At 57.7% G+C, this 25,559-nt stretch overlaps 1 protein-coding gene and 1 long non-coding RNA gene across 5 annotated transcripts in view, besides 5 other annotated features; both read right to left on the bottom strand.

The window, feature by feature from the left end:
* OSBPL2 (oxysterol binding protein like 2) overlaps positions 1 to 8,572 on the bottom strand; it is a 57,663-nt gene extending 49,091 nt beyond the window's left edge. For all 4 annotated transcript variants that reach the window (NM_001363878.2, NM_144498.4, NM_014835.5 and 1 more), the window contains exon 1: positions 8,496 to 8,572. The gene's annotated coding sequence lies outside the window, so the exon portion shown is untranslated. The remainder of the gene's footprint in view (positions 1 to 8,495) is intronic.
* Positions 2,084 to 2,691: an enhancer, noted in NCBI's record as "H3K4me1 hESC enhancer chr20:60819458-60820065 (GRCh37/hg19 assembly coordinates)". NCBI's record gives its function as "activates a minimal SCP1, AML or CMV promoter by ChIP-STARR-seq in primed H9 embryonic stem cells {active_cell/tissue: H9 hESC(primed)}" and the evidence as "EXISTENCE:reporter gene assay evidence [ECO:0000049][PMID:30033119]".
* Positions 2,692 to 3,300: an enhancer, noted in NCBI's record as "H3K4me1 hESC enhancer chr20:60818849-60819457 (GRCh37/hg19 assembly coordinates)". NCBI's record gives its function as "activates a minimal SCP1, AML or CMV promoter by ChIP-STARR-seq in naive H9 embryonic stem cells {active_cell/tissue: H9 hESC(naive)}" and the evidence as "EXISTENCE:reporter gene assay evidence [ECO:0000049][PMID:30033119]".
* Positions 6,823 to 7,747: an enhancer, noted in NCBI's record as "H3K27ac-H3K4me1 hESC enhancer chr20:60814402-60815326 (GRCh37/hg19 assembly coordinates)". NCBI's record gives its function as "activates a minimal SCP1, AML or CMV promoter by ChIP-STARR-seq in naive H9 embryonic stem cells {active_cell/tissue: H9 hESC(naive)}" and the evidence as "EXISTENCE:reporter gene assay evidence [ECO:0000049][PMID:30033119]".
* Positions 8,445 to 8,844: a silencer, noted in NCBI's record as "silent region_13105". NCBI's record gives its function as "represses an Ori minimal core promoter by ATAC-STARR-seq in GM12878 lymphoblastoid cells {active_cell/tissue: GM12878}" and the evidence as "EXISTENCE:reporter gene assay evidence [ECO:0000049][PMID:35858748]".
* Positions 10,792 to 18,850, bottom strand: LOC105369209 (uncharacterized). The gene is made up of 4 exons (NR_160555.1): positions 18,792 to 18,850; positions 13,110 to 14,688; positions 11,730 to 12,087; positions 10,792 to 11,621 (listed from the first exon to the last, which is right to left on the bottom strand). It is a non-coding gene; the product is annotated as an uncharacterized LOC105369209 (long non-coding RNA).
* Positions 18,087 to 18,987: an enhancer, noted in NCBI's record as "H3K27ac-H3K4me1 hESC enhancer chr20:60803162-60804062 (GRCh37/hg19 assembly coordinates)". NCBI's record gives its function as "activates a minimal SCP1, AML or CMV promoter by ChIP-STARR-seq in naive H9 embryonic stem cells {active_cell/tissue: H9 hESC(naive)}" and the evidence as "EXISTENCE:reporter gene assay evidence [ECO:0000049][PMID:30033119]".

Below are 25,559 nucleotides of genomic sequence, written 5' to 3'. Positions count from 1 at the left end.
TGGGGCCGGCCAAGGAGCAAACCAAAGCCACTGTCACATCCCTGCAGGACTTCTCCTTCCCCAGAGCAGTCGGCGACCTGGCAGGGCCTAACCTGGCCACTCAAATGCTTGGAAAGATGCCACCATGACACTGCGAGGTTGCCAGAGCACCAGGAAGGGAAACAAGTGTCACCTACGAGCATCAGAGTCACAAAGTTTAAGGACAGAATTAGCTCTCTGTGGAAATTAAAGAACAGAAAGGTCTCCCGGATCAAGGCTGGAGGATGGGAACATGAAATCATGGACAGCAAGACAAAGCCTGCTGTGACATGAACGGACCCAGGGAGAACCTGGTGTGAGATGCCTGCACCTCCGTGTGGCACTGAGGGGGAGGGGCAGGGGCTGAGGGACAGGGGCGCAGCTCTCTTCACCCAGCACCTTCTAAGCCCTGGGGCAGGAGTGACCAGTCAGGGCCTCTCTGACACCTCATCCCTCCCTGCGTGTCCAAGCCTAGCGTGGGCAATGCTTCTCAGCTAGCATTTCAGCCTTGACACATCCACTTTGCAAACTCAGCCCATGCATCACCCGGACGCCTAGAAGCCCTCACCCCACTGACACCCAGCTGGCCACCAGGCCACAATCTCGTTTCTTTTGCAAAAAAACAAAACTTAACTAAAACAAAGACTCAACATTTCACAGCTTCAGAGCTGAGCTTAGACTCTCCCATGGCACTGGAAATGTCATCTGTCCAGTGTCGTCCCTATGGGCCACAGGTGGCTACAAGCACTTGAAACGTGAGGGAGAACTGAATGCTGGATGCTAATCAGCTGAATTGACTTCACTTCAACAGCCACCCACGGCAGTGGCGCCCATCCTGGACACAGCGTCCCGGGGCCCCATGGGGCTGAGCCATCATGGGACCATGCCCTGCCTGTGACCAGCCCCACCAGAGGGTGGAGGAAGATGGAGGCGGCGGCAGCAGCGAGAGCAGAGGGCTTTGCCAGCCCCAGGCGCAGGTCCAGGCCTCTGCGAGGAGACGCGGGAATGGCAGCCGGCCCCGCGCCACAGCTACCTCTCAAACACCAACCCCACAACGATGGAGGGCCGTCAAGGACACCGCCAGGCCAGGCCCCATTCCTCCTTCCCAGACCTCCCTGGATTGCTCCGTCTGTGCTCACTGAAACACGCCTTCTGCCAATTGTCGAGGAAAAAAATCAAGCCTTAATATTCCTGTCATTGTAAAAGCTTAACGGTTATTTTTACAGATTTTGTATAAATTTAGAACCAAATAAACAAGTCATATGCCATTCACAACAATGACCTTTTTTAACAAGGGGTATGTGCACGGCTGTCTGTCCTCGTCACCATCTGCAGCCCGTCACGAGTGAGGCACGTACGACTGGCCGCTCAGGCCTTTGCCCTTAAATGCACTGTGTTTTGGTGGCAATGGGATGGAATCAAGAGTGACCTTTATTGAACACTGGTTCTTGATCCTTTAGCCAAATAAGGTTAAGTCCAACTGCATCAGAAGCTCCAGGAGACAGCCCTTCTGAGCACAGAACCAGCTGGCTCTAGGTCTGCGCTTTTTAACCTGAACAACCTCTCCGCCTTCTTCAGGCCTGTATGGTTCTTCTTAGCGTGGGGCTCTACGTGGCTCATCACAAACCAGCTCCCTAACACCACACAGAATGTAACACGCCTTAGCTGAAGAACAGGTTTCAGGCCGGGCGCGGTGGCTCACGCCTGTCATCCCAGCACTTTGGGAGGCCACGGCAGGCAGATCACTTGAGGTCAGGAGCTCAAGACCAGCTGGGCAACATGGCAAAACCCCATCTCTACTAAAAATACAAAAAAATTACAGGTGGCACATGCCTGTAGTCCCAGCTACTCAGAAGGCTGAGGCACAAGAATCACTTGAACCCATGAGGCGGAGGTTGCAGTGAGCCGAGATCGCGCCACTGCACTTCAGCCTGGGCGACAGAGGCAAGACACCGTCTCAAAAAAAAAAAAAAAGAACAGATTTCAGCCCTTTATCCTAAGACACCAGCGTGGACACACGAATGGCTCAACCCTGACTCGGGAAGGCCCTGTGCTACGCGTGCCAGCCAGGCAAACTTGCCAGGTGCACATGAGGACTCTGCATCAGTCCAGAATTCACGCAGGAAGTTTCTACACTGAGAAAGGCAGGTGAACCTCTCCCACTGTGCAGACAGCAGCACCCCCACTGTTTACCATTCTCCATGCCAAGAGGGTGACCTTGAGAGGCAGGCAAAGGTGAGCCCGGCTTGGTCCCAAGAAGCAGCTGTGGGGAGTGGCAAACCTTCCCACTGGGCCTCGCGGCCAGTGTGGCCCGACGTCCCGGAAGCGGAGCCTAGCGCCCCACTCACCACAGTCAACTCCCTCAAGTCTTGTCGCTGACTTAACTGCTTCCTGTGGAATATTAATTGCCAAAAATACACCACGCACCTCGAGGAACATTACCTTGTAATGCAGTACGATGTATTTCCAAACACACAAGATGAATGCAAGCGCTTCCGTACAAAAACATGTGTTTTAATCAACCTTCTCCTTATGCAACACAATAAAAAGCTGTTCCAATGCGGCCCACGAGACTGGGTGGGAAGGCAATGGACAGGGCGCATGCCCCACAGCTCACGGGCGCCCTGCTCTCAGAAAGCCATGCCGGAGGGCAGGGAGAGCACTCCAAGGGCAGCAGCAGTCCAGCCAGCCCCCGACCCGCCGCCGCTGTGTATCTCTGATGATCAAAACCAACGGCCCCGAGAGGAGCCCAGCCTGCGGCTGCAGCTAGAGGAGAAGGAGACACCTTGTACCCACATCTCACAACCCAGCAAGGGCCACAGCAGGCGGAGGACGCGGTGAGGGAGTGGGAGGAAAATTAAGACAGCAAAGGGAAGTGAGTGACCCAGGTGAGAGGCTGTTGTCCTGCAGGGCTCCCGGCCTTCCCCAGGGCACCTGCCCAGCCAAGGAGTGGCTGGCTTGCTGGAGTGCGTCCTTGCCCTCTGGCCGCCTCCTTCTCTGTGGCCTCAGCTCCAGGCCCTCCTCACCATCGTGCCCATCTTCATCCTGTGCAGCCCTAATGGGGTCCACTGTGCTGAGAAACCTGTCACCCTAACATCAGACCTGCCCACGTGGCTGCCAACTGTGCTTCCTGAGCACCTACAGGCAGGGCTTCAAACCAAGGTCAGGGAAAACCACCAATCTCTAACCCCCCTACCCTCTGCAAAAAAAATTTTTTTTTAATTAAAAAATTTAAAAAAACAGGAAAAAAAATTTTTCGTTCATTTTTTTCCCCAGAATAATGACCCACATTATTCATATTCATGAAGTTCTCAAAGGGGTCCTTGATCTAAAAAAGGGTCCTGACCCCACCGTGGGCCTCCAGCACTTGGACTCCCCGCTGAGGACCCACCCCAGACCCTCCCGAGCTTGTTAAACACATCTCTTCCTGGGCCCCTCCCGGGAAACCCAGGCTCAGTGAAGCTGGGGCTGGGCCTTGAACCCACACTTTTTAAAAAGTTCCCCCAGCTTTTCTGATGAGAAGCAGGGGTGAAAACTCCATGATGTTAACCCAGGAGCCTTCTACCCTGACAGCCGAGCCACTGAAGAGGCGGAGCTGCCGGGCAGGCGCTGCGGGGCAGGCGCTGCGGGGCAGGGGCTGCGGGGCAGGCGCTAGGGCTCCTCGGGCACCTCTGCACTGGGACCCCTCCCCTGGCCCCAGCTCAGGCACTGCCCTGGCTCTGCTTCCGCTCAGGTGTTCCAGCATTTCCCACAGGTGAGACTTACTTGGAAGACGGGTGATGATTACAGCGAGACTCCCAGCTCTGCTACATCATCAAGAGAGGCCAAGCCAGAGCCAGGGCACTCGCAGGAGCTCGCCACCACAGACGCAGCCCGTGTCCTCTTTCACAGTAAGAGGGTAGCCCCACGCCCTGTGCGCACCTGACACCTGCCGTCATTATCGGAGTCACCGAAATGTCACTGAATCACAGTCCCCCTAGTTTTAAGGCAATAATGGAAGTTGCTCTCTGGCCGAGCACAGTGGCACAAGGTCCCAGGTTACAGGGGGCTCTTTCTCACGATCAGCCTTGGATCAGCCTTAGGTTTATTCAGTACAAAGCACAGGCACTCACTTCCACACCATAGTCCTCCTTCCTCTACAGCTGCCTCCGTCTTTTCTGGAACCAAAACTCCACACAACTCCCTACACACTACAGTCCTCCCTGCCTGGTGCTCCTCCAAGAACTCCCCGTATGAGCCCACAACAGGCGCTCTCTGGGCACCCCTGAAGGTTGCAGTCCCAGCGCCTTTGATAAAGAAATGTGCTCAGTGTCTGCTCAGCCAAGAGCCCCTCAGACCCTTCCCACCCCTGACTTGCCTCAGCGTCGGGGCCACAGCCCCCAGGCCCTCAGTGCGCAGGTGAGAAGTACACACCTTACACCCAGGAGAGAGGCCTGATGACCGCCACAAGCCCTGAGGGTGCGGGAACCTCTTCAGGCCCCAAACTATGGAGCCAGCCACTAGCTCAACAGGACTGATCCCAGAGTTTGTTTCTCAAAATACATCAAGCGAGTGTTCCACTGAAAACAGAAGGCAAGCAAAGAGAAACAGCCACAAACATCAGGCACGAGTCTCAGATCCAGTCCCTTATAAAAGCTCACTTCCACCACTCAGCTCAACTCAGAGGTCACAGGATTTGCATCAGCAGAAGCTCCAGCGGAAAGAATGTGGATGCTGTGACATTCTGCTGAATGATCCCAAGTTCTTTTCTGAATCTGGAAGGAAAAGGAAAGAAGTGCCAAAAAGTTCACGCAAACAGTGCTGTGAGCTATTTAACAGATGCTTTTATTATCAAGAGCTGCAGAGGTGGGCCGGGACACCACCACGCTTCCACAGTGGGACCCTAGCCCAAACCAGCAGCCTGAGAGGCCGGGACACCATGCCTGAAACTCACTAGCAAGAACACTCTGAAAAAGCAAAAATGACAGCAGATTTACAAATCAACTAGCATATGTGGAAAGTGCATTTAAACTATCAAACCAGAACCCACCATATTAACTCAGGACTTCGGTCCTTTTTAATAATCAGTCATGTTCAAATACTGACTTCCTTTCAGTGTAGATAAGGTTATAAATCAACCTGAAAATGTACTACATATTGGAATTAAACCTCGTACCTGACAATCTGTGCTAAACACTAAACGAAATGTCAACACCCAAACAGGAAGTATGACAATGACTAGGAGAAAATCAGCCCACACCCAAAGATCCCGGGACACCTGAGGGTGTGACTGCTGCACTGCTGAGAGGCTCCAGCTTCAGCAGGTGTTGGAGCCAAGGGCGGCCCAGGCACCCACAACGTATCAGACACTTGATGTTATATTTTCACAGATTCCACATAGTAATCCGTCTTACAGGCAAAGACACTGAAGGCAGGAGCCAGTGGGAACCCACCCAGGACCCAAGAGCCCTGGTCTGGCGCACCACCTTCGCAAAGATGCTGTGACTCAGGAAGGCACGGCGCCAGCTGTGCCTGCACGGCCAGACAAGACATGGCTTGCATGGGGACATTAAAGAAATCACCTTGAGGAGATGGCAGCTTCCCTGCTTGAAGACAGCATAAGAACCTAAAATGTGTCAACAATTCCCTTATACAAAATGTCACTTTTGTAATTGGCTGAATGTACTAAAACTTTAAAAGTCGAGCAAGCTTTAATGACAAATCCAAGACCCAAAATTAGCCAGGTGTGGTGGCGGGCGCCTGTAGTCCCAGCTACTTGGGAGGCTGAGGCAGGAGAATGGTGTGAACCCGGGAGGCAGAGCTTGCAGTGAGCTGAGTTCGCGTTTGCAGTGAGCCGAGTTCGCGCCACTGCACTCCAGCCTGGGCGACAGAGCGAGACTCCATCTCAAAAAAAAAAAAATTCCAAGACCCATCTGCTGGCATCTCCTGGACGGCACAGAGGAGAGACACTGGGATGAAAGTCAAGTGGCATTTTTTTCACATTCAAACAGCACCTCTCATTAACATGTGGAACACAGCAGAGTCTGACCCTCTCAACGCACTCGAGGCGTGGAAGAAAAATGTCCTACGTGTGTACTCTAAGGCAGTGTGTGAAGTCCCCTGGAACTGAACTCAGAACGGAGACCTCAGAGTCTGGACTGTACGCCTGTCAGCACCCATGCCCCTCAGTCCTCCCTCTTCACACAGAGACCACCACTGAATCTGCCAGTAACAAAGGAGCTGGGTGGCAGGGAAGGTATTCTGGCAAAATCCTGAATGGTCAAACGGTAAATTACTTTATTTCAGAAAAAATGAAATGGCTTTGTAAACACTCAGGCTCACAAAAAAGAAAGTCTATTAGTTCTATATGTAGCAAAATCCCGAAATTCTGACACAGAGTAATGCAGCATGATTAGAATATTCTAAACGAAAATGTTAAATGAAAATCTTGATATTAAAAGGCAGTACAGGGTAGTGTTTAAGAGTGTGAACCCTGGAGCCTGGGTTCAAATCCATATTTCATAATTTACTGCTGTGTGGTTTAGGTAAGTTACTTAACCTCTCTGTTCCTTAGCTTCCTCATGAATGAACTAAGGATAATGTCAGTACCTGCCCAGTGGACTGTTGTGAAGATCACACAAAGAAAGTGAATACGACATGCTCGTAACAGTCCTGGAACAATCATTATTAAATATTATCGTCTGCTGGGGTAAGAGCTGTCATTAATAGATGGACACATGAAGAAAACAGGGTAAATTCTATGAGGGAGACTCAGTCACTCACTCACTCATTGCCACATTCTAAAAGACGACACTGTGGCAGGCACTGGGCTGGGCAGGGAGGAAGTGCCACCGACAAAGTTCCTGTCCTCAACAAGGGGAAGGTAACTGGCATTCCGGGGTGCGCACTAGGTGTCAGAGACTGTGGTAGAAAATGATTTCATGGCAGGGCGCGGTGGCTCGCACCTGGAATCCTAGCACTTTGGGAGGCTGAGGCAGGCGGATCCCTTGAGGTTAGGAGTTCGAGACCAGCCTGGCCAACATGGTAAAACCCCATCTCTACTAAAAATAAAAAAATTAGGCGGGCGTGGTGGCCGGCGCCTGTGGTCCCAGCTAGATGGGAGGCTAAGGCAGGAGAATGGCTTGAAGCCGGGAGACGGAGGTGGCAGTGAGTCAAGATCGCACCACTGCACTCCAGCCTGGGCAACAAAGCGAGACTCCATCTCAAAACATAAAACAAGAAAATGATCTCGTTTGCTTCTCTTATCAGCAAAGTGCTACATGTCCGGATGAAGGAGTTGAGGCTGACAGCCAGAAAAGAGGCCATGGGCACGAGTTAGGAAGGGCAGCAGGGACGGCCGTGGCTTCCCAGCATGTGGCCCCTGCACCAGTTCCGGGCTCCTCAACTCTCCGCTGTCCTCACCACACATCCAGCTGGTGGGAAGGCCGCACAGCACCCAGCCAGGCCCACAGCAGGCATTCGAGAAACGTCTATCCAACCAAACCGAATGGGACCCCTTCTCCAGGTGTTCCGGGCAGTCATCCCAAAGCTGCCGGAGCCAGGCTAGGCCAGGGCCTGTCCTAGAGGACGGTTCAGATAGAAACGCCCCTGGGAGGTGACCCTCACCCCAGGAGAGCCTGCAACACCCCGACACCCACTGCCTCGTCGCCGGTCCTCCCATGAAGCGGGGAGGCTGAGGTGCTGTGACGACCTAACAGTCTTGGTCTGGGCTTATAAACTTGGAAAGTCTAAAGACGTATTCTTCTGAGTACCAAAATATAACTGGCGAAAGAAGGAACCTCTTAAAATTACATTACCAAAGATAGGTTTTAGGTAGCAAGTTCTCAACCGTGTGTAGTCTGCTAAGATTTATAAATTAAAAACAAAAACAGAGCCCAGGGGAACGGACAAGGGCTCGCGGGCACCCTCCCCGGGACGACGTGCACACAGGCCTGCGGGACAAGAAGGCCAGGGTCGGAGTGGGACTGCGTCTCCCTGCCCTTCTTCCCGGCGGAACTCGCCCTCCTCACCTACAGGATCGCCCTAAATGCGCACGAAATCCTTCCCTGTTCCCGGTGAGGTGGTGAGAGAGGGCGAGGCCGCGAGCAGGTGCGCCCGTCCCCACTTCCTGCTCAGCGGGGCAGCAGGGGGGCTGGGGATCTCGGGGGGGCCGGGCCGGGGGTCCCGGGATCGCAGTTGCCGGGCGACCGCAGGGGGAAGGGTGCGGGGGCCGCGGGACCCAGGCCCAGGCCCCACGCCCGGCCGGAACTTTCCTCCCAAAGTTTCCCCGGGGCGCCAGGCTGCGGCCTAGGCCGGGCGCGCCTCCCAGTGGGGGTCGAGGCCGGGGCCGGGGCCGGGGCTGGAGGCGGCCTGCGGACCCGGGTCCTGCCCGGCCCGCCCTCCCCTCCCCGCCCCGGCTCCAGCCCCAGCCCGCGGCCCAGGCCCCGCAGCTCGCCGGGGTCCCGGGCCTTCGCGTGGCGGCGGCGGGGGCCACTCACCTGGACGCGGGTCCCTCGGTTGCCGGCCGAGCTCACTGCCGCCCCGCCCCCGCCCCGTAGGCCCGCGACCCACTGACACCGAGGCGGAAGTGCGGCCCGCCGCCTCGCCGACTGACAGCCCGCGCCCGCCACTCGCTGCGCCCGGCGCCGCCGCGTCGGCCGCTGCCTGCCCAATCAGCGCCCGGCCCGAGGCTCGCGCCGGGGGGTGGGACTATGCTAATCCCTTCGCGAAGGGCCTCTACCTGTGCCCCCTCAGAGCCCCGCCCACGCAGCGGAGTGACGGCAAGGACAGCCAGTCACAGCAGGAGAGAGGCGGGGTTATGCCGCCCCTGAGCCAAAAGGGGAGGGAGGCAAGGAGGAAAGGGCGTGGCTGCAGAGAGCAGAGTTGACAAACAGTGAGTCAGGTGGCCCGGGGCGTGGGTGCTCCGCCCTCAGGTGCACTGCGTCCTGGCGGCAGTGCGGGCCTGCGAGGCTACCCAAAGCCCTGGGGGCTTTTTCCTACAAATGCTGGGGACCGTGCGATAGCTGGGGCGTAGCTGCTTCCACTGTCCTACCAAATCCTGAATATCGTCCACCTCCTTTGCATGCCATTCACCGCCAACCAAAATCCAGCGCCAATTTACCCCTCCAGCTGCATCCCCGACCGTTTCACCACCATACTTAAAACCCTTTGGACTCCCACTGACCTACAGTGGCTCCAGGGTTAAGCCCAGAAGTTCTGGAATCAGACCTGGAGCTTGCATTCTTTACCAGCTGTGTGGATTTGGACAAATTAATTAACCTCTCTGAGTCTGTGATCACTCAGTTTCATCTGCAAACCAGGGTTCCCCTGTCAACATCTCATTGAAGTCATGGGTCTGGTTTGAGGTGAGTGGAGTGGCATAAACCAGGCTGGCTACATAGTCACAGCAGTTGGTTTAGGGGTCAGCCTGTGACCCAGTTCTAGCCAAAGAGGCTCAGTCCTGGGACTTTTGCTGTAGGGTCAGAGTTCAGACCGGAGGGGAGGCTGAAGTCAAATGACTCTCCCATCTGCCCACAGACCTCTCCAGAGCTGGGTTAGGTGAGAGAGGGAAGGGGCCAGTCTTCCACATCTCACTACCCGAGAACAGGGCTGCACGAGAATGAAGCCAGCCCAGAGGAAAGCCGGAGCAACCACGGCCGGGTCACGTGGACCCTGCTGCACCTCAGCAGGTCCTTTCCTTGACTTTTCAGTTACGTGAACCACATGCTTGTTTCTGCTTCAGCCCATTTGAGGTAAAGCCAAGAGTCCTGGGCTTCCTGTGGCCTTGAGAGCTCTGGCAGATGACCCGTGACCCCGCAGTGCGTCCTGCAGCAAAGCCAGCCCCCGTTGGGCCTCTGCACCCCCTCCTCAGGCCTTGTCTCCCCACTTCCAGGCTGCCCCTAGCAGGGCCATGGAGGCAGGGACAGGCCTTTGCCCCATCTGTGGCCCCGTGGCAGACGTGGGTACTCTCTATAAATTTCAGGGCATGAGTGAGCCAATGAACGTGGCCTCTGTGGCAGGGGTGGGGCCCAGGCCACATCTCTGGGCCCAGCAGGGCCGTTCTCCCCCACCCCAGGGGCTGGCCCCACTCACTGGTGGGCCACTGTCAGTCGGCGCCACTAGAGACGTGCCGGGACCAGGAAGGAGCTGGCTGAGCCTCTCCTGAAGAGAGAACGGGGAGGAGGGCGGGCAGGCCTCAGAAACAAAGGGGTTGCCATGGTTACCTCTGAAGAAAGCGACTCCAGCCGGTGAAAGGGAAGGGAAGGCGTGCGGCCCCCAAGCCAGGACAAGGACGATGAGGCCAGTTGCCACGGAGATGACTGCGCTCCACAGCTTTCCCTGTGGGCCTTGCCAGGGCCAGCTCAGGGTCCCAGAAACCCATCACTCTCCATGTCCCTCACCCTAAGTCTCTAAGACTCTAACCCCTGTGCCCTTGAGGGGATCCAACCTGCCCACCCACCCCTTGACCACGAGCTCTGCAGTGAGGGCAGCCTCAGAGGCTCAGGCAGAAGGACCCTCTCATCTGCCCAGGGACCACCCCAGGGCCAAGCAGGGAGATCCACCCTGGCCTTGGGGTTGGGGGTGTGATCTCAGATGGCCCCTGGGCTGGAGCAGGGGTTTCACCCCTCTCCACAAATGCAGTAACTGAGCTTCAAGGGTAGTCTGCCGTCAGCCAGCACTGCTGGAGACGTGCCAGGACTGGGAAGGGTACTTCCTCCCCGGGGCCAGTTGCTGGGACTAGGCGAGAATCCTCCCTCAGTTGGTGGGTAGTAAGGAGGGTGCCTTGAGACCAACTTAGGCGTCTTTGTTATGATCTTTACTAGGTCACGAGGCCAATTCAAGAGGCACAGTTCTCCAAGGATGGAAGATGGGGGTGGAGAAGGCAACAAAGATGGATGAGCTGGGGCCATGATGATGAGGATGATGATGTTGATGATGATGATGGTGATGGCGGCCGAGTGCCCTGTGATTTACAGGCCCATCTGGTTTCATGTTTGCAACAGCCAATCAAGTGGGTACCAGGTGCCATCATTCCCACTTTACAGATGAGAAGACTGAGCCCCAGACAGGTTAAGTGACTCCCCCAGCCCTGCAATGAGGAAGGGCCCAGCACAGCTCCAGGCACAACAAGCAGGCACTCCAAGCATAGGGAGGTCTGGTGGACCAGGCCTGGCCCAGGAGCTTGTCGGCAAGGCAGAGCCGCATCCAGGCTCCCGGACCAGGATCCGCACACGAACAACAGGCCCAGGAGTTCCCATGGCTGTGGCTGCTGGACCCCCGCACCAGGTGGGCTGGCGGCTGTGTCCCACACATGCTCTCTAGAGCCTGAGAAATGCTCATCCTGCAGGTGATTTGGGGGGTGTCTGCTCCCACCTTCACTGCTCTCAGACCAAATTTCTGCTTCCTGACAGAATTTGTAGGATCCTCCCTCTGTCCTCTTAGCCAAGGAGGGGAGAAGCTCTCTCCCTCCCTCACCATGGGGGAGGTCACCAGTGGGTGGATTTCATGACCCACATACCTCCCAGGGCTGGCATGCGGGGTCCAGCAGTCCCAGCCACAACTATGTCATCCCGCTTCCTTTCCTCTCACGGTGAAGGAGGCGGAAGAGAGGTTGTTGCTCCCACCTTTTGGATGGGGAAACTGAGGCTTAGAGAGCAGAAGCAGCTTGCCCAGGGCCTGGCAGCACCAGTCCCGCCTACGACCCACCGCCCTTTCCCCCGCTCCACTCTTACCTCCTCCCCCAGGTTTCTGGGTCTGGGTTTATCTCTTTATCTGGGTCTGCACCCACAGCTGCCCCATTAGATCAAACAGGGCTTGGCTTCCAGGAACGCCGGGTGCCTTGGCATTGCTGGCCTGGCTGGCAGCTGCTGGCTGGTGAGCCCCAGCTGAGGCTGTCTCCTCTCCCCAGGCACTCCCCAGGCCTTTAGAGAGGACATTCTCCCACTCTCTTTTATGGAAAGCCATGGAATCTTCTGTGTGGATGCAGCCTGGGCAGTCAGAGAGGGGCCTGGCCCTCACGTGGCCGCAGCTGACCCCTCCCCGCCGCAGCTCTCCAGTCTCCTCTGCGACGTGACAGCCCTGGCTTCTCTGCTGTGGGGAGGAGAGTATTTTTAGTTTTGAACCCACCACGTGAAGCGAGACAAGTTATCAATAGCAGCAGCAAAGGGCTTTTTCTTTCTCTCTCTCTTTTTTTTTTTTCCCATGTCTTTGGGACCTGAACAATCTGCACCCATTAAATTCTGCCAAAAGAAAAAATAGTGTTCCTCTTATAAACTTTTTACCCCACAGCTTCCTTGCTGCTGCAGCTTTGCAAACCCACTCTTCCTGGGATGATCCCCCTGGTCTCCACAGCCCCCCTCTCCACTCCTGGGCACTGAGACCTGCCTGGGAACAGGCCCTTCTGAGCAGAGGGCCAGGGTGGGGCTCAGGCCACAGCTCCAGAGCAGTTGGAATGAGGGGCTGGGGAGAGGGGAGAAAGGCCCCCCAGTTTCCCGCTCACAGAGCTGGCAGCAGCCACAGCCTCTCCTGGAGTGCTTGCTGCCTGCCCGGGGCCAGGCCCAGCTCCTCTGAGTGCAGTAGCTCAGGGACACGCCCCACCCCGCAGTGAAGGGCAGAGAAGGTGGCCTTCCCAGAGGCCTTTCCGGCTGTAATTCCTTGTTTCTGGAGGAAGGGGTTCCTCAGTCAAGTAGGCTTGAGAACACTATTTAAACAAAGTCAACAGGTGCCCTCCCCAGCCTTAGGCTTCCCAGAGCCCTTCCCACTCAGGTGCACATGGAGGCTCCAGGGCCCAGGAAGGGCCTGATGCAGACCCCCAACATATGGGGATGGAAGCCTTTTTTCTATGAAGTTTCTTGCAGGACACTGGAGTGGCTTCCTGCCTTGCTGGGGGAAGCATTTGAGCCAACATGGCTGCCTGCCCTTTAGAACTGGTTAGAGCTGCGTTCCTGAGAAAGCTCAGAGTAACAGAGGCTTCGACAGAGTAGAAACGTACTTTTCTCTCGGTGACACAAGCCTGCGCTGTCCAGCTGGCAGGGTACCATGCATCCTCAGGGACACAGCTCCTATCTTACACTATCCTCTCCTAGTGGCATCCTCAGGGACGCAGCTCCTACCTTACTGTATCACTCTCCTAGTGCTGGCTTCCAGCCTCAGTGTCACCTCATGGCCCAAAACAGCTGCTGATGCTCCAGCCATCACAAGCATACCTGACCAGAAAGGAGGAAGGAAAAGAGGAAGAGCAAAAGTGCTGCCCCCTAGATGAGTCAGCTCCCTTTGAGGATCTGTCCCTGAAGACACACCCAGCACTTCTGCTCACATCTCACTGGCCAGAACTCCATCCTATGCCACTTTTGGTAGGATAACGGCATTTTAGCTGAGTGCACTTCCAGCCTAAACAAAACATGGGGCTACGGGGAGCAGATTACAGATGGCCCCAAAGCCAGGCCTAGACAGTCCCAGACCCAGAAATGTGGACATCTCCAGAAGCGACCCATGAGTGCCCTGCCTCAGAAGAACCGACAGCCCCAGATGCAAGACAGAGCGCCTGGCACACATTCCCTGGCACGCCTGTGGCACAAGGGCTGTACTCCAACTCCGTGCCCCAGCGTGGTGCTGCAGCGGCCACTTCAGCGTTGGCCCTGGAGTTTCCCTCTTCCTGGCTGCACCCTGACTGATGGGAAGTGGGTTCCTGCTCCTTCTTGAAATACCTGTTGAAAACCTGCTGCACTCTGCTGGCCCCACCCTGGGTGCCGGGGTACCTCCAGAAGCAGGGCACCCACCCCAGAGGCTGCTAGGCAAAGGGCTTTCCTAGTGTGGGAAAGTGGGGGACCCTGGGGGACCTCTGCACCCTTCCTGAGGGCCCATGTAGGGTTGGCAGGGTGTGGGCACATCCCTGCAGGGAACGGGAGGGGCAGGTGGGAGCCGGAGGAGAGACAGCTGGGCTGGGTTAGATTTAACTTGCTGCGGGAGCCAAGTGCGTTGGCTGGAGCCACTGGCTGGGCCTCAGTGCCAGGGGATCCGCCAGGCACGGGGGTGGGAGGGGCAAAGTTTAAATATGCCTGAGGAGCCAAGATGGGGGGCAGAGATGGGGCCCAGGTTGAGGAGCCACCGGGGGCCTGAGGGTGGCGCCATGGGTTTCTCCTCAGGAGCAGCCCAGCAGCACGCTTGCCCCTCAGCTGGAGCTGGGGATGGGGGTTGGGTAAGAGACAGCCAGCCAGAGATTTGGGGTTCTTCTGGGGATGGGTGTGCTCCCCCAGTTGCATCCCTGGGAGAGGAGGTCAGGGAGGGGGTGGAGGGGATGGCTAGGGGTCTGTGTGTCAGGGGTCACAGCAGGGCACTGCATACCCAGCCCAGTCCTCGTGGTCACGGTAGAGAGGGGTGACCCATGAGGCAGAGCTGTACCCACCAGGAGCTTCATGCATGGCTCACAGCACCCAACCTGTGCTGTCACATGGCACCTGAGGTTAATTTACCAATCTACCATTGCCGTCTTGAAATTCTTCATCATCTTGGGGCAAGGAGCTCACATTTTCACTGTGCGGAGGACCTGGTAAATCCTGCAGCCATCCTGGGCGAGGAGGGTGCGGCACTGGAAGCAGGGCCCACGGGGTTTCAGCAGTTGCACACAGCCGGCTGGGTGATGCCATCCCTGCCAGGCATGGTGACAGGCTGGGCAAGCAGGCTGGGCCTGTTCTGGGGAAGAGATGGAGGGGCTGATAAGAGGCCCTGTGCTGGGCTTCTGTGCCTGGTGCCAGCCTGCACAAGCTGGGGGAAGGCAGTCTGCCCAGGGGTCCCATGTCCCAGGGCTGGGAGATCCCTGGGGCCAGGGAGGACCATGCTGGCCGGTGCTCCCACTCGCTGGCTGGCTTCAGGAAATAGGGGTTCAGTAATGCCCAGGGCATCTGCAGGAGGTGGGTGTGGGTCGGTCTGGGCAGATGGCTGGGAGTTGGGTGGAATCTGGAGCCCATGGGGGTCTAGACCCAGCCTTTGCTGATGGAGGTCTTCGCTGCCGATGGAGGTCCTAGCTGCCGATGGAGGTCCTAGCTGCCGATGGAGGTCCTAGGTGCCGATGGAGGTCCTAGGTGCCGATGGAGGTCCTAGGTGCCGATGGAGGTCCTAGCTGCTGATGGAGGTCCTAGGTGCTGAGGGAGATCCTAGCTGCTGATGGAGGTCCTAAGTAGGCCACAGAGGCACTCTGAGCCTCAACTTCGTGGGGGCTTGGTGAGGCTCAGAGAAGGCAGAGCAAGGGAAAGTTGTTTGGAGGGCATGTGGGCATTGCCGGGGCTCTGCCCAGTATCCACCACATCTCCTAGGAGCAGCCCTGAATCCTTCTTTGGGAACTACCCATAGGCTGGTACTAGGCTGAGCCCATCTCTTGCCCCAAATAGGGCATGTGACTGGGACCTGGGCATCACTCATTGCCTAGCCATAATCAGTCAGATCGTACTTGGGCCCTTCATGGACCCCAGGTCTGAGCTGGGATGTCAGCCTGGAGGTGCCATGCCAAGGGCAAGGGCTGTCTGAGAGGACAGCAGGCTGAGCCCAGGGTGGGGACACCAGTTTTGATGGTAGCCGTCGGGCTCCTGGATCCAACCATGCCTGAAGGAGATGGCACCACCAGTGTACTCTCAGATGCAGGCAAAGTTTCCATCCTGGTAAATGAAGTGTCCTGAGCCATCTGCCCACCTCGCCACACAGGGAGAGGACGGCCACATGTCCCAACAGGTCTCTGACTCCCTCCTCTCCTCATCAGGGCATTCCGGGCTGGGGTCACCCTTCAGAAGAGCACACAGGTGGGCACTCAAGATGCACACCAAGGAGCCCCAGATGTTTCCACCAGGGTCTTTCCACCACTGGCTCATCCAGTGCTGCATAGGTGGGACACAGAGCCCAGGGGATGGAGGAGTCGCCCAGTGACCTCACCGTGCATCCCTTGGGCACTCCCATCTCTGCTTGGATCAGCTAAGCAACTCCAGAAAAAGTGAGAGGATGATGGGATGCCAGGAAGAGGCAGATCCAGGTGAGGTTGGCCAGTGTAGGGGAGGGTCAGGGGGATGCACCAGGGTAACAAGCACTCCGGGGATGTGGACCGTCATTCCCTCAGGGCCTTGGGGAGAGACCAGATGGCCCCATCATGTCCTGCAAAGACAGCCTCTGACCTGGGTCTAGGAGCTGCGCCTCCATCATCCTCCATCAAGGCCCGGCGCTGCCCCCTGCTCATGCCCTTGGTCTGGCCCGGGACCTCGGGTTCCCAGCTGCAGCCAGGACGCACCCATGCCACTTTGGTGGGTTCCAAGCAAAGCTACGTGAGGCCCTACAAAGCCCTTCGGTCCCAGGCACTCTCCCCTGCTCCCCCAGGGACAGCCCAGGTGGGACAGCTTGTTCCCTTGTTTTCTGGTTGTGTGTGTGAGTGGAAGTGTGTGTGGCAGAGTGTGTGTGTGAGAGTGTGAATGTGAGTGTGTAGTGTGTGTGTGGCATTGTGGGAGTGTGTGTGGAAGTGTGAATGAATGTGTGTGTGAATGGAAGAGTGTGGAATTGGGGGAAGTGTATGAGTGAGCGTGTGTGAAAGTGTTAGTGTGTGTGAGTGGAAATGTGTGTGAGTGGAATTGGAGTGTGTGCGTGTGTGGAAGTGAATGAGTGTGAGTGTGTGAGTGGAAGAGTGTGTGGAATTGGGAGTGTGTGTGTATGGGTGTGTTGAGGGTGTGAGTATGGAAGTGAGTTTGTGTGTATGTGTGACTGTGTGAGCATAAGTATGTGGAATGGGGGAAGTGTGTGAGAGTGAGTGTGTGTGGAATGGGGAAGTGTGAGAGTGAGTGTGTGTGTGGAATGGGGAAGTGTGTGAGAGTGAGTGTGTGTGGAATGGGGGAAGTGTGTGAGAGTGAGTGTGTGTGGAATGGGGGAGTGTGTGAGAGTGTGTGTGGAATGGGGGAGTGTGAGAGTGTGTGTGTGTGGAATTGGGGAAGTGTGTGTGTGAGTGTGTGTGTGGAATGGGGGAAGTGTGTGAGAGTGAGTGTGTGTGTGGAATGGGGGAAGTGTACGTGTTTGTGAGTGTGTGTGGAATGGGGAGAATGTACGTGTTTGTGAGTGTGTGAGTGTGGAATAGGGAAGTGTGTATGTGTTTGTGTGTGTGTGGAATGGGGAGAAATGTGTGTGTTTGAGTGTGAGTGTGTGAGTGTGGAATGGGGAAGTGTGTATGTGTTTGTGTGTGTGGAATTGAGGAGAAGTGTGTGAGAGTGAGTGTGTGTGTGGAATGGGGGAGTGTGTGAGAGTGTGTGTGTGGAATGGGGGAGTGTGTGAGTGGAATGGGGAAGTGAGTGTGTGTGGAATGGGGGAAGTGTGTACGTGTTTGAGTGTGTGTGGAATGGGGAGAATGTACGTGTTTGTGAGTGTGTGAGTGTGGAATGGGGAAGTGTGTATGTGTTTGTGTGTGTGGAATGGGGAGAAATGTGTGTGTATTTGAGTGTGAGTGTGTGAGTGTGGAATGGGGAAGTGTGTATGTGTGTGTGGAATTGAGAAGTGTGTGAGAGTGAGTGTGTGTGGAATGGGGACAAGTGTGTATGTGTTTGAGTGTGACTGTGTGTGTGTGTGGAATTGGAGAAGTGTGTGTGAGTGTGAGTGTGGAATGGGGAAGTGTGTGTTTGTGTGGAATTGAGGGGAAGTGTGTGTGAGTATGTGTGAATTGAGGGGAAGTGTGTACGTATTTGAGTGTGAGTGTGTGGGGAATGGGGGGAAGTATGTTTGAACGTATGAGTCTTTGAGTGAGTGTGTGCGGGATGAGTGTGTGTGTTGAGTGTGGGGGATGAGTGTGTGAGTGTGTGGGATGAGTGTGTGTTGAGTGTGTGGGGGGTGAGTGTGTGGGTGTGTGGGATAAGTGTGGAGTGTGTGTGAGTGTGGGTGAATGTGTGGGTGTGTGTGAGTGTTGAGTGTGTGAGTGTGTGGGATGAGTGTGACTGAGTGTTGAGTGTGTGTGTTGAGTGTGTGAGTGTGTGTGGGGTGAGTGTGAGAGTGTTGAGTGTGTGAGTGTTGCGTGTGCGAGTGTGTGTGGGATGAGTGTTGAGTGTGTGTGTGTATGGAAAGGCGTGTGGGCAGCAAGTGACAGTGATTCGTGCCCAGACCCAGGGGAGGGGAGTCTGCCTCTAGAGCAATTGTCGCCCCCTGCCCTGGCTCAGGGCCTTGTGGAGGGAGGAACTGTTTCTCCCACCCTGACCTGTCCCTTGCAGGGCAGAAGGGGACAGTGTCAGTTTCCTCCCGACACCTCTGTCACAGCTCGCACCAAACACCCTCAGACACACCCGCAGACCCACAGACGCACGTGCACACACACATAGCCCAGAGAGACACGCACAGACATACCCGGATGCACAGAGACGTGTACACTGACAGACGCAGACATAGACACACGCACGCACACGCATGCATTCTTTGCCTGCTGCTTGGGAGCCCCCATCCTTCCTCCCCCAGCACACGGGGGCGGCCACATTCACTGGGTCCCGGCCCCAGCACTGATCAAAGCTGGGTTAGTTTTTCCAGCAGGCACCAGGTCCCCAGGAGCTGCCCTGGATCTGCGGGACTCCAGGGAGTCAACAGAGAGGGTCGTCCCCGTCCCTGTCCCCATCTCTGTCCTCGTCCTCGTAGGGCCCAGACTCCCCCTCCAGGACGAGGCTCCCTGAGCCCACCTGCACTGCTCAGCTCCTCCACGTGGCGCCTCTTCCCGACCTTCTGCAGGGGAAGAGGACCCAAGGCTCCAGGAGGGGTCAGGGCGCTGCGTTTGCCCTAGGGGTGAGGGCATACACTACCTGGGACCACGGCCAGCAGCTCTGGGAACAGCACAGGCAATGGGAAGACCTGGAATAACCCTGAAGGCTTCTGGGAGGAGGCACCCATAGGGGAAGGTGCCGGGTGGGGCAGAGCGTGAGGGGCGTGTGTCTGGGGAGGGGCATGGAGGTGCAGGAGGTGGGGACAGAGGGAGGAGGAGGGGCCACCTCCTCACCAGGCTTCAGGTTCCAGGGTAAGGCTGGCCTCTCAGCCTTACCCTGAGAACGGATCCAGGCGGCAGCCAGATGGAGACCGGCCTGCACAGTACTCACAACGGGCCTCCAGTGTGCCCCCGCCGTGGCCATCCTTGCTTCCTCCCCAAACAGACTACCCCACCCAGGCGGGAGGCAGGGGGTGGACAGAGACGGGGCTAGCCCTCCAGCAGCCCTGGGCGGTGAGCACAGGTGTGCTGGCCACATGTCCCACGTTCTTGTCTGTCGCCCTCCACTAGATCCACCAGGCCCCTGCCTATGCTGACCTCAGCTGCTGGAGGGGAGGGCCCCAACGGCCTGTGTGTGGAGCAGCCAGGAGCACGTGGCCCCTGGCTGGCCTGCCTAGCCTTGCGCCCTGGATGGGGGCCTGCAGGATGGACCGGGGTCACCAAGCCTGGTCCCCACTTGGTGGGGGACCTAGGCTGAGGGGGTGGGCAAGGTATTCAGGGCAGACACCAGCCGGGTCTCAAGGCACCCTGGCATGGGAAGCAGGAGGAGCTGGATGCCAACCAGCTTGACGGTCCAGACATCCCCCTCCCCCAGGGCCTGTCCCTACCTCTGGCCTGGCCCAGCGGCCCCCTGGCTTGATGCTTACCACTGTCCAGGGCCTGATTCACCCCCAGGCACCAGCAGGGATCGGGGGTCATGGCCTGGGTTTGGCTCGGAGGCCCCCCAGGCAGTGCTGCTCTGTTGGATCATAGCCACAGGAGGCCCCACCAAATGCTCTTACGGATGGGGCGAGGGCTCCTGGGCTGGGGCTGGGTCCCCCACAGCTGGACTTGGGTTTGGGGCTGGGTCCCAGCTGCCCTGGAGCCCTCTCGGCCTTTCAGAGGGTTCTGGAAAAGCACAGTGGAGACCGTTCTGCTTTCTGTCTTCTTTTCTGTTTTCTCTATCACGTCTTCATGCCTAGCCCACGGAGGGAGGCTGCACAGATGCAATCTGTTCCATTCATTCAGCGAATACTTCTCAGCCAGCCCTAGGAGGTGCACACTGCACGCCAGCAACAGTCTGGCTCACACGGAGGGACTTTCCGGGGAGGCAGGAGCTCCTTTCCTCCGGCAAAGATTTTTTATTCCTCCAGTTCTCCGGCAGCCTCTGCACTCACCGGGCTGTTGACCCTCAGATCAGACCTGGGTTCTCAAGACCGCCTCCAGGCACCACCTCCTCCAGGGAGCCTTCCCGGGATCACTCCTTCTCTCGTGCTTGATGTCTCCACCGGGCGCCATCCTTAGGAGGGAAGAGCGCTGGGTCAGGCTCCATTCAGTTCTGCACTCTCCCTGCCCCAGCCTCTGCCCTCGGACCCAGGCCCCAGGGCTCAACAGGCCCCCAGTCTCAGCAGAAGGAGCTGAGGTGTGATTGGAGCTTGGTTTTCTGGGGGCCGCTGTCCTGGCCTGTGGTGTGGGTGTGCCCCTGCCTCTTTATTTATTTTCTGTAGAGACAGGATCTGTCTGTGTTGCCCAGGCTGGTCTTGGGCTCCTGGTCTCAAGCAATCCTCCTGCCTTGGCCTCCTGAAGTGTTGGGATTACAGGCATGAGCCCCCACGCCCAGCCTGCGACCCTGTCCCTTAAGCTGGCTGTATCAGCCCTGGGTGAGCAGGGAGCAGACCCCGAGCGGGCTGCAGGCTTCCTTCCTACGGATGGACCACGGGTGGCTCCACAGCCATCCTGCCCGGGCCCCTTGAGACCTGCCAAACTGCCATCACCCATCACTGCCCCTCTCCCTGCTCTCTCAGCCTCACTTCTCACAGCAGCCAGGGAACAAGAGAAGCAGATGCCCCGAGAGAAGGTCATCTCTGCAGTCGCACTTTCCCTGCCGCCCCAACCACGGCCAGGCTCTCTGTGCCCAGGCCCACTGTCCCAGCAGGATGGCACTTGGACCCCTGAGGCATTGCTGGGGGATTAAGCAGGGGCTCCTCGCGGGGACCTCAAAGCAGCTTCAGGGATGACCACCACTACTCCCCCTCCACTCCTCGTGCATCCTCAGCCAGGGTTTGAGTCCACCGTTGTGAGCTCAGGCATCACGATTGCCCAAGCCAGGCCAATGCCAGGCCAAAGCAGCTGATCCTGGGGTTCTGTTGGCTGAAAGGCAGCCTCCTCTCCTGCCTGGGGATGGAGGAGGGGACAGGGGAGTCACTTGGAGCTGCAGGGAGAGACCTCAGGGAGATAATCCCTGCCTGAGGATGAAGTGCACACAGGATAAGACGAAATGGAGGGAGCAACTGTACTTGAGCCCAGATGCAGCTGTGCCTGAAACTCACTGCCCCTGGACTTCGTGGGCGTAGGAAACAGCACCTGCTCCTTGTCCTTAGGCCCTTTGGACTTGGGCTCTCTCACTTTCAACCAAACTATAGCAACTAATGTCTGGCTCTCCTGTCCCCTCTCTCCTTCCTACCACCCAAGTCTTGGGCCCAATTCTGCCTGGTCTGCAAAGGCAGGTAAACCAGACTCAACTTTTCATTCCAAGTTGGCGGCCTCAGACGCCATTCTTGTCACACCCAGGCCCTGAGCTCGTCAGGATGCACCCGGAGCTGGCTCAGAATGTCACGGGGGAAAAAAAGACATGGAACAAAAAAAGAAAAATTTACATTCCCATATTCAAATGAGCTCCTGCAGAAAGAGAGAAAGCAAATATGGGTTCCTTGGAAGAGGCGGCACAGTGCTGGCCCCAGACCCCCACAGGTGCCTTGGCTGTAACTAGAAGGACAATTGTCCTGCACTGGCCCTGGCGGCCCTGCGCCTCACCCCCATATTACTCACCAGCAGCTGCGTCCCCATGCAGCAGAGACAGAGCACTGCGGGGACAGCACCTGGGCGCACCATCAGCTTTTCTGGGCACCAGAGATGCTGGCCGCAGAGCTGCTCCCCCGATGGCACAGGGTGATGGGAGAGCGTCCTGCTGTCCGCTGCTGTGACACCAGCATGGCCACCAGCCCAGAGTTCCTCTCATCCCAGCCCCTGGCTGCCCATTTGACCAGTCTCATCTCTTGAACATCCCGTTGGCAATTCAGCCTTGGCGCCCTCAAACAGGGCACCTCTTCGTCCCCCAAACCTGCTCCCTCTGGTTCATTGTCAGCACCTTCTTTGAGGCATTTGAGCCCAAATTATGGAGTTGGGCTGGGCGCCTCGTCTCCTCTGCCCTCTCACACCTCACATGCCAGCTCATGTCAGAATCTGCCCAGGTCTGCCTGACCTCCACCGCCACCATTGCCTCCCACCTGGAGTCTTGCAACGCCTCCCCTCTGGTCTCTCTGCCCCCATCCACCTAGAGACCACTCTCCAATGCAGTCAGGGGATTGTGTAAAAGCGTCCCCCAGGCCCTCCTGGAGCATCTGTCTGAGAAAACATCAGCATCCTTGCAGCAGCTCAAGGGGCTACAAGACCTGCCCCTGGAACGCACTCCCCATGCCCCCGCCTGAGCTCCGGCCGCGTGAGCCTCCTCGTTGTCCCTGGAACACGAACGTGCTCCATCCCTTGCCCTTCACTCCTGCTGTTCTCCTTCCTGGAACTCTGCTTCCTCCAATATCCACCTCCCTTTCTTCCCCCTTTGCTCGTGTGTCTCCTCAGTGGAGACTCCCTGACCACCCTTTCAAAATTGGAACCTGGGCTGTGGGTCCTCCAGGAAGCAGACGCCGAGACAGCGTGGGAGGTGGAGAGATGTGTTGGGGTGAGGCCTGTGAAGGATCAGGGGTCAGGGGACAGGGGCAGCTGAGCTGGGGCCCCGCCTGGCACGCGTCCCCTCCCTCCTGCACTCTCCCACCTCGGCTGTGGCCACTGCAGGTCCTGGAGGCTCACGCTCCTTCCCTGAGCCCTGGCCACTGGACCTTCTCAGGCTGGGGTGGCCACACTTGTCCATGCACAGAAACGATCAGGCCAGGGGGTGCCGTGGCACCCAAGAGGGCCCTGAGTCTCACACCCACCCCCTCCCACCCCTCCTCTCCTGGAAATAGCAGCCCCACCTTCTCCTGCTGATCAGGGCCACTTACCCCGACAGAAAGGCGGCTCCTCGTCTTGTCTGCTGGAGCTCAGGAGCTCAAAGTGCCTGGGAGCCATCCACAGCTGTGTCCCCAGTAAGCAGGTGTCCCTCAGAGATGAGAAGCTTGAGCCCTGCAGAGCCCAGAGTTTGGAAAGCACAGATTCCCCTGAGGATGCTTGGGAGGGTGCCAGGCGGGGCCCCTCCTGCTCCTTCCCTGGTCCGAAGGCCTGTGGTCTTCTTGTTGGAGACGTGACGCCATGGAAAGGACTCTGCTCTGTCATCCGTGTCTGCAGGGCAGAGTCAGCCTTGGAGGTGAGTGCCCCAGGCTGGTGTGCCTCTGGAGGCTGCTCCTGGGTGGTGTGGCAGCCCAGACCCTGGTGGGCCCATGGCCGGGGGCCATGCCGGCTCTGCCTTCATGGGAAGAGGGTCCCCTGGCCAGATGCCACACTGTGTAGGAATCTCTGCCTGTGGATCTGAGGTCCATAGGCCCCTGGATTGCAGCGTAGGCTCAACAGGCAAGACAGGCCGACGCACACCCGGAGCAGGTCTGTGGTCCATGAGGGCTAGGGGAAGGGGACCCATGGAGCCATCTCACCAGCAGCTATTTGCTGTCCTCAGAGAATGTCCCCTTCTTGGGGCTGGGTGTTGAACGCTTGCTGGCGGTCAGACATTCAGAGGCAGCAGCAGCAGGTGGGCCTTGGGAGGTGGGGGTCGGTGCCCTTTGGCCCACACGTAGCCTCCAGGGTGGCCACTGCACTCGGTGGGGCCGTGCTGCACTCACTGCATTCACCTCAAACATCCCAGTTCGAGGGTGGCCGATGACAGAGGCTTGCTAATGTCACGTCTTCAGGGTGAATGGCTCCTTGTGGGTGTTTGCTTGTGATACGAAACCAACAAGCTAGGCCCCCAGTCACGTGGCCGTCCACATGGCTCTGGCCCAGAGCTCCTGTCTCCATCTCTAGTCCTTTTCCTCCCCAGCCCGGACCAGCCTGCCGGGACATTGGCCTCTGCCCATGAATACAGGGATGGTCTCCCCTGGCGACTTTCTTTTCTCATCACAACATACACAACATAGCTGCTCCCTGGGACAGGGCCCCCCAGGGCTAGACGGGCTACACAGGGACCAGCCACATGCACCCTGCATTGCCGTGGCCACATCAAGCCCCACCCCAGAGGACAGTGGCCTCCTGTTTGGGCAAGGACAGGGGCCTCTGGCATGGCTGCTGGTCATGCTGGTGCGCTTGCTGGCCTCAGGCTGGGCTGGACATGTGGCCATGGAGAGGGTGCGCCTGCGTGACCTCGGGCGGGGGAGCTCACCAGCACTGCAGGGAGGCAAGTCCTGCCCAACTTTATGGTCTTGCAGGGGCTGGTGAGGTCAGGTACCAAGCACTCCCACCGAGTCTGGCTGAGTCTAGGGGGCGTTCACGGCCGCCAGCCACTGTCATCATCAGACCTCGGGGACAAGCCAGGCCCTCTCCTCTCTAGGTAGCCTCCATTTACAGCAGCTTAGAGAAGTTTGGTAACTCAGCCGGGGTCACACAGTTGGGTCCCCACTGCCAGGGGCCAAACCCCGGGGCCTCCTTCTGACTTCCCGCAAGCGTGCCCTGAGGTGACCCACAGGCGTGTGATGGATATGTGTCACCACTGTGGTGACAGGCTGCAGAAGTGGGTCCCCTGGCCGATGCCACGCTGTGTGGGATTCCCCGCCTGTGGGTCCAGATTCCATGGGCCCCTGGATCTTGGTGCAGGTTCCGCAGGGTTTCAGAACAGCTGTGGGGCAGGTGTGGGCTCAGCTGTCCCTCCTGAGGCTCTGGGGCAGAGAGAACACCAGGAAAGCTCCCTCTGTCTGGGTCGTCTGGCTCAGGCCAGCACTGCCCAGGCTCTCCGGGGCTGGTCAGTTCACGGGGAAGCCTGGGCAGCTGTGGATGACAGGGGAGGAGGGGTGGGGAGGGAGAATGGCTGGGCGGGCCTCCAGACCCCTTCATCCTTGGTTCTGCTTGGGATTCCAATTTATATTCCCCATTCCAAGATGGGGACACTGAGGCTCCAGCCAGTGAAGGAGAGAGCCAGGGCCCCCTCTTAACCCCCACCCAATGCCATCTCCTGCAGCCTCAGTGGGTATTTGGGGAGGAGAAGGGCCTGGGGAGGAGTCCTCTCAACAAGGAGTTCTGGTTTGGGTGGGGACAGTGAGTCAAGAGCTGCAGCAGGCATGGGTGGCAGCTCTGATGGCCCCACAGCCCCTTGCTGCCCAGCTCCATGGAACTTTTCCCCTTGAAAACTTTTCCCTGGTCCAGGCAGAGTCCCTCCACACTGGGTGAGTTGGGGTGGGGTGCAGGGAACGTGGGGGAGCCTGTATGAGGAGTAGGGTTTGCAGGTGGAGTGGGATGAGTACAACCAAGCAGTCAGAGAGGGAAGCCGAACCCCTCCCCCAAGAGCAGACTCCTAGAAGCCGTGAAATAGTGGGCTGACTGGGGCCACGGGTCTGGGGGTTCCTTTCTGCAGTCAGCCCTGAGGTGGCAGCAGAGGAATCCCAGCTCCTCCTTCCCCAAAGTTTCTGAAGCGCCA

This window comes from Homo sapiens, chromosome 20 (genome assembly GCF_000001405.40).
Source record: "Homo sapiens chromosome 20, GRCh38.p14 Primary Assembly".
Taxonomy (NCBI): Eukaryota; Metazoa; Chordata; class Mammalia; order Primates; family Hominidae; genus Homo; species Homo sapiens.
Note: the sequence above shows the minus strand (reverse complement) of the source record. Positions and strands in the feature narration are given on the sequence as shown.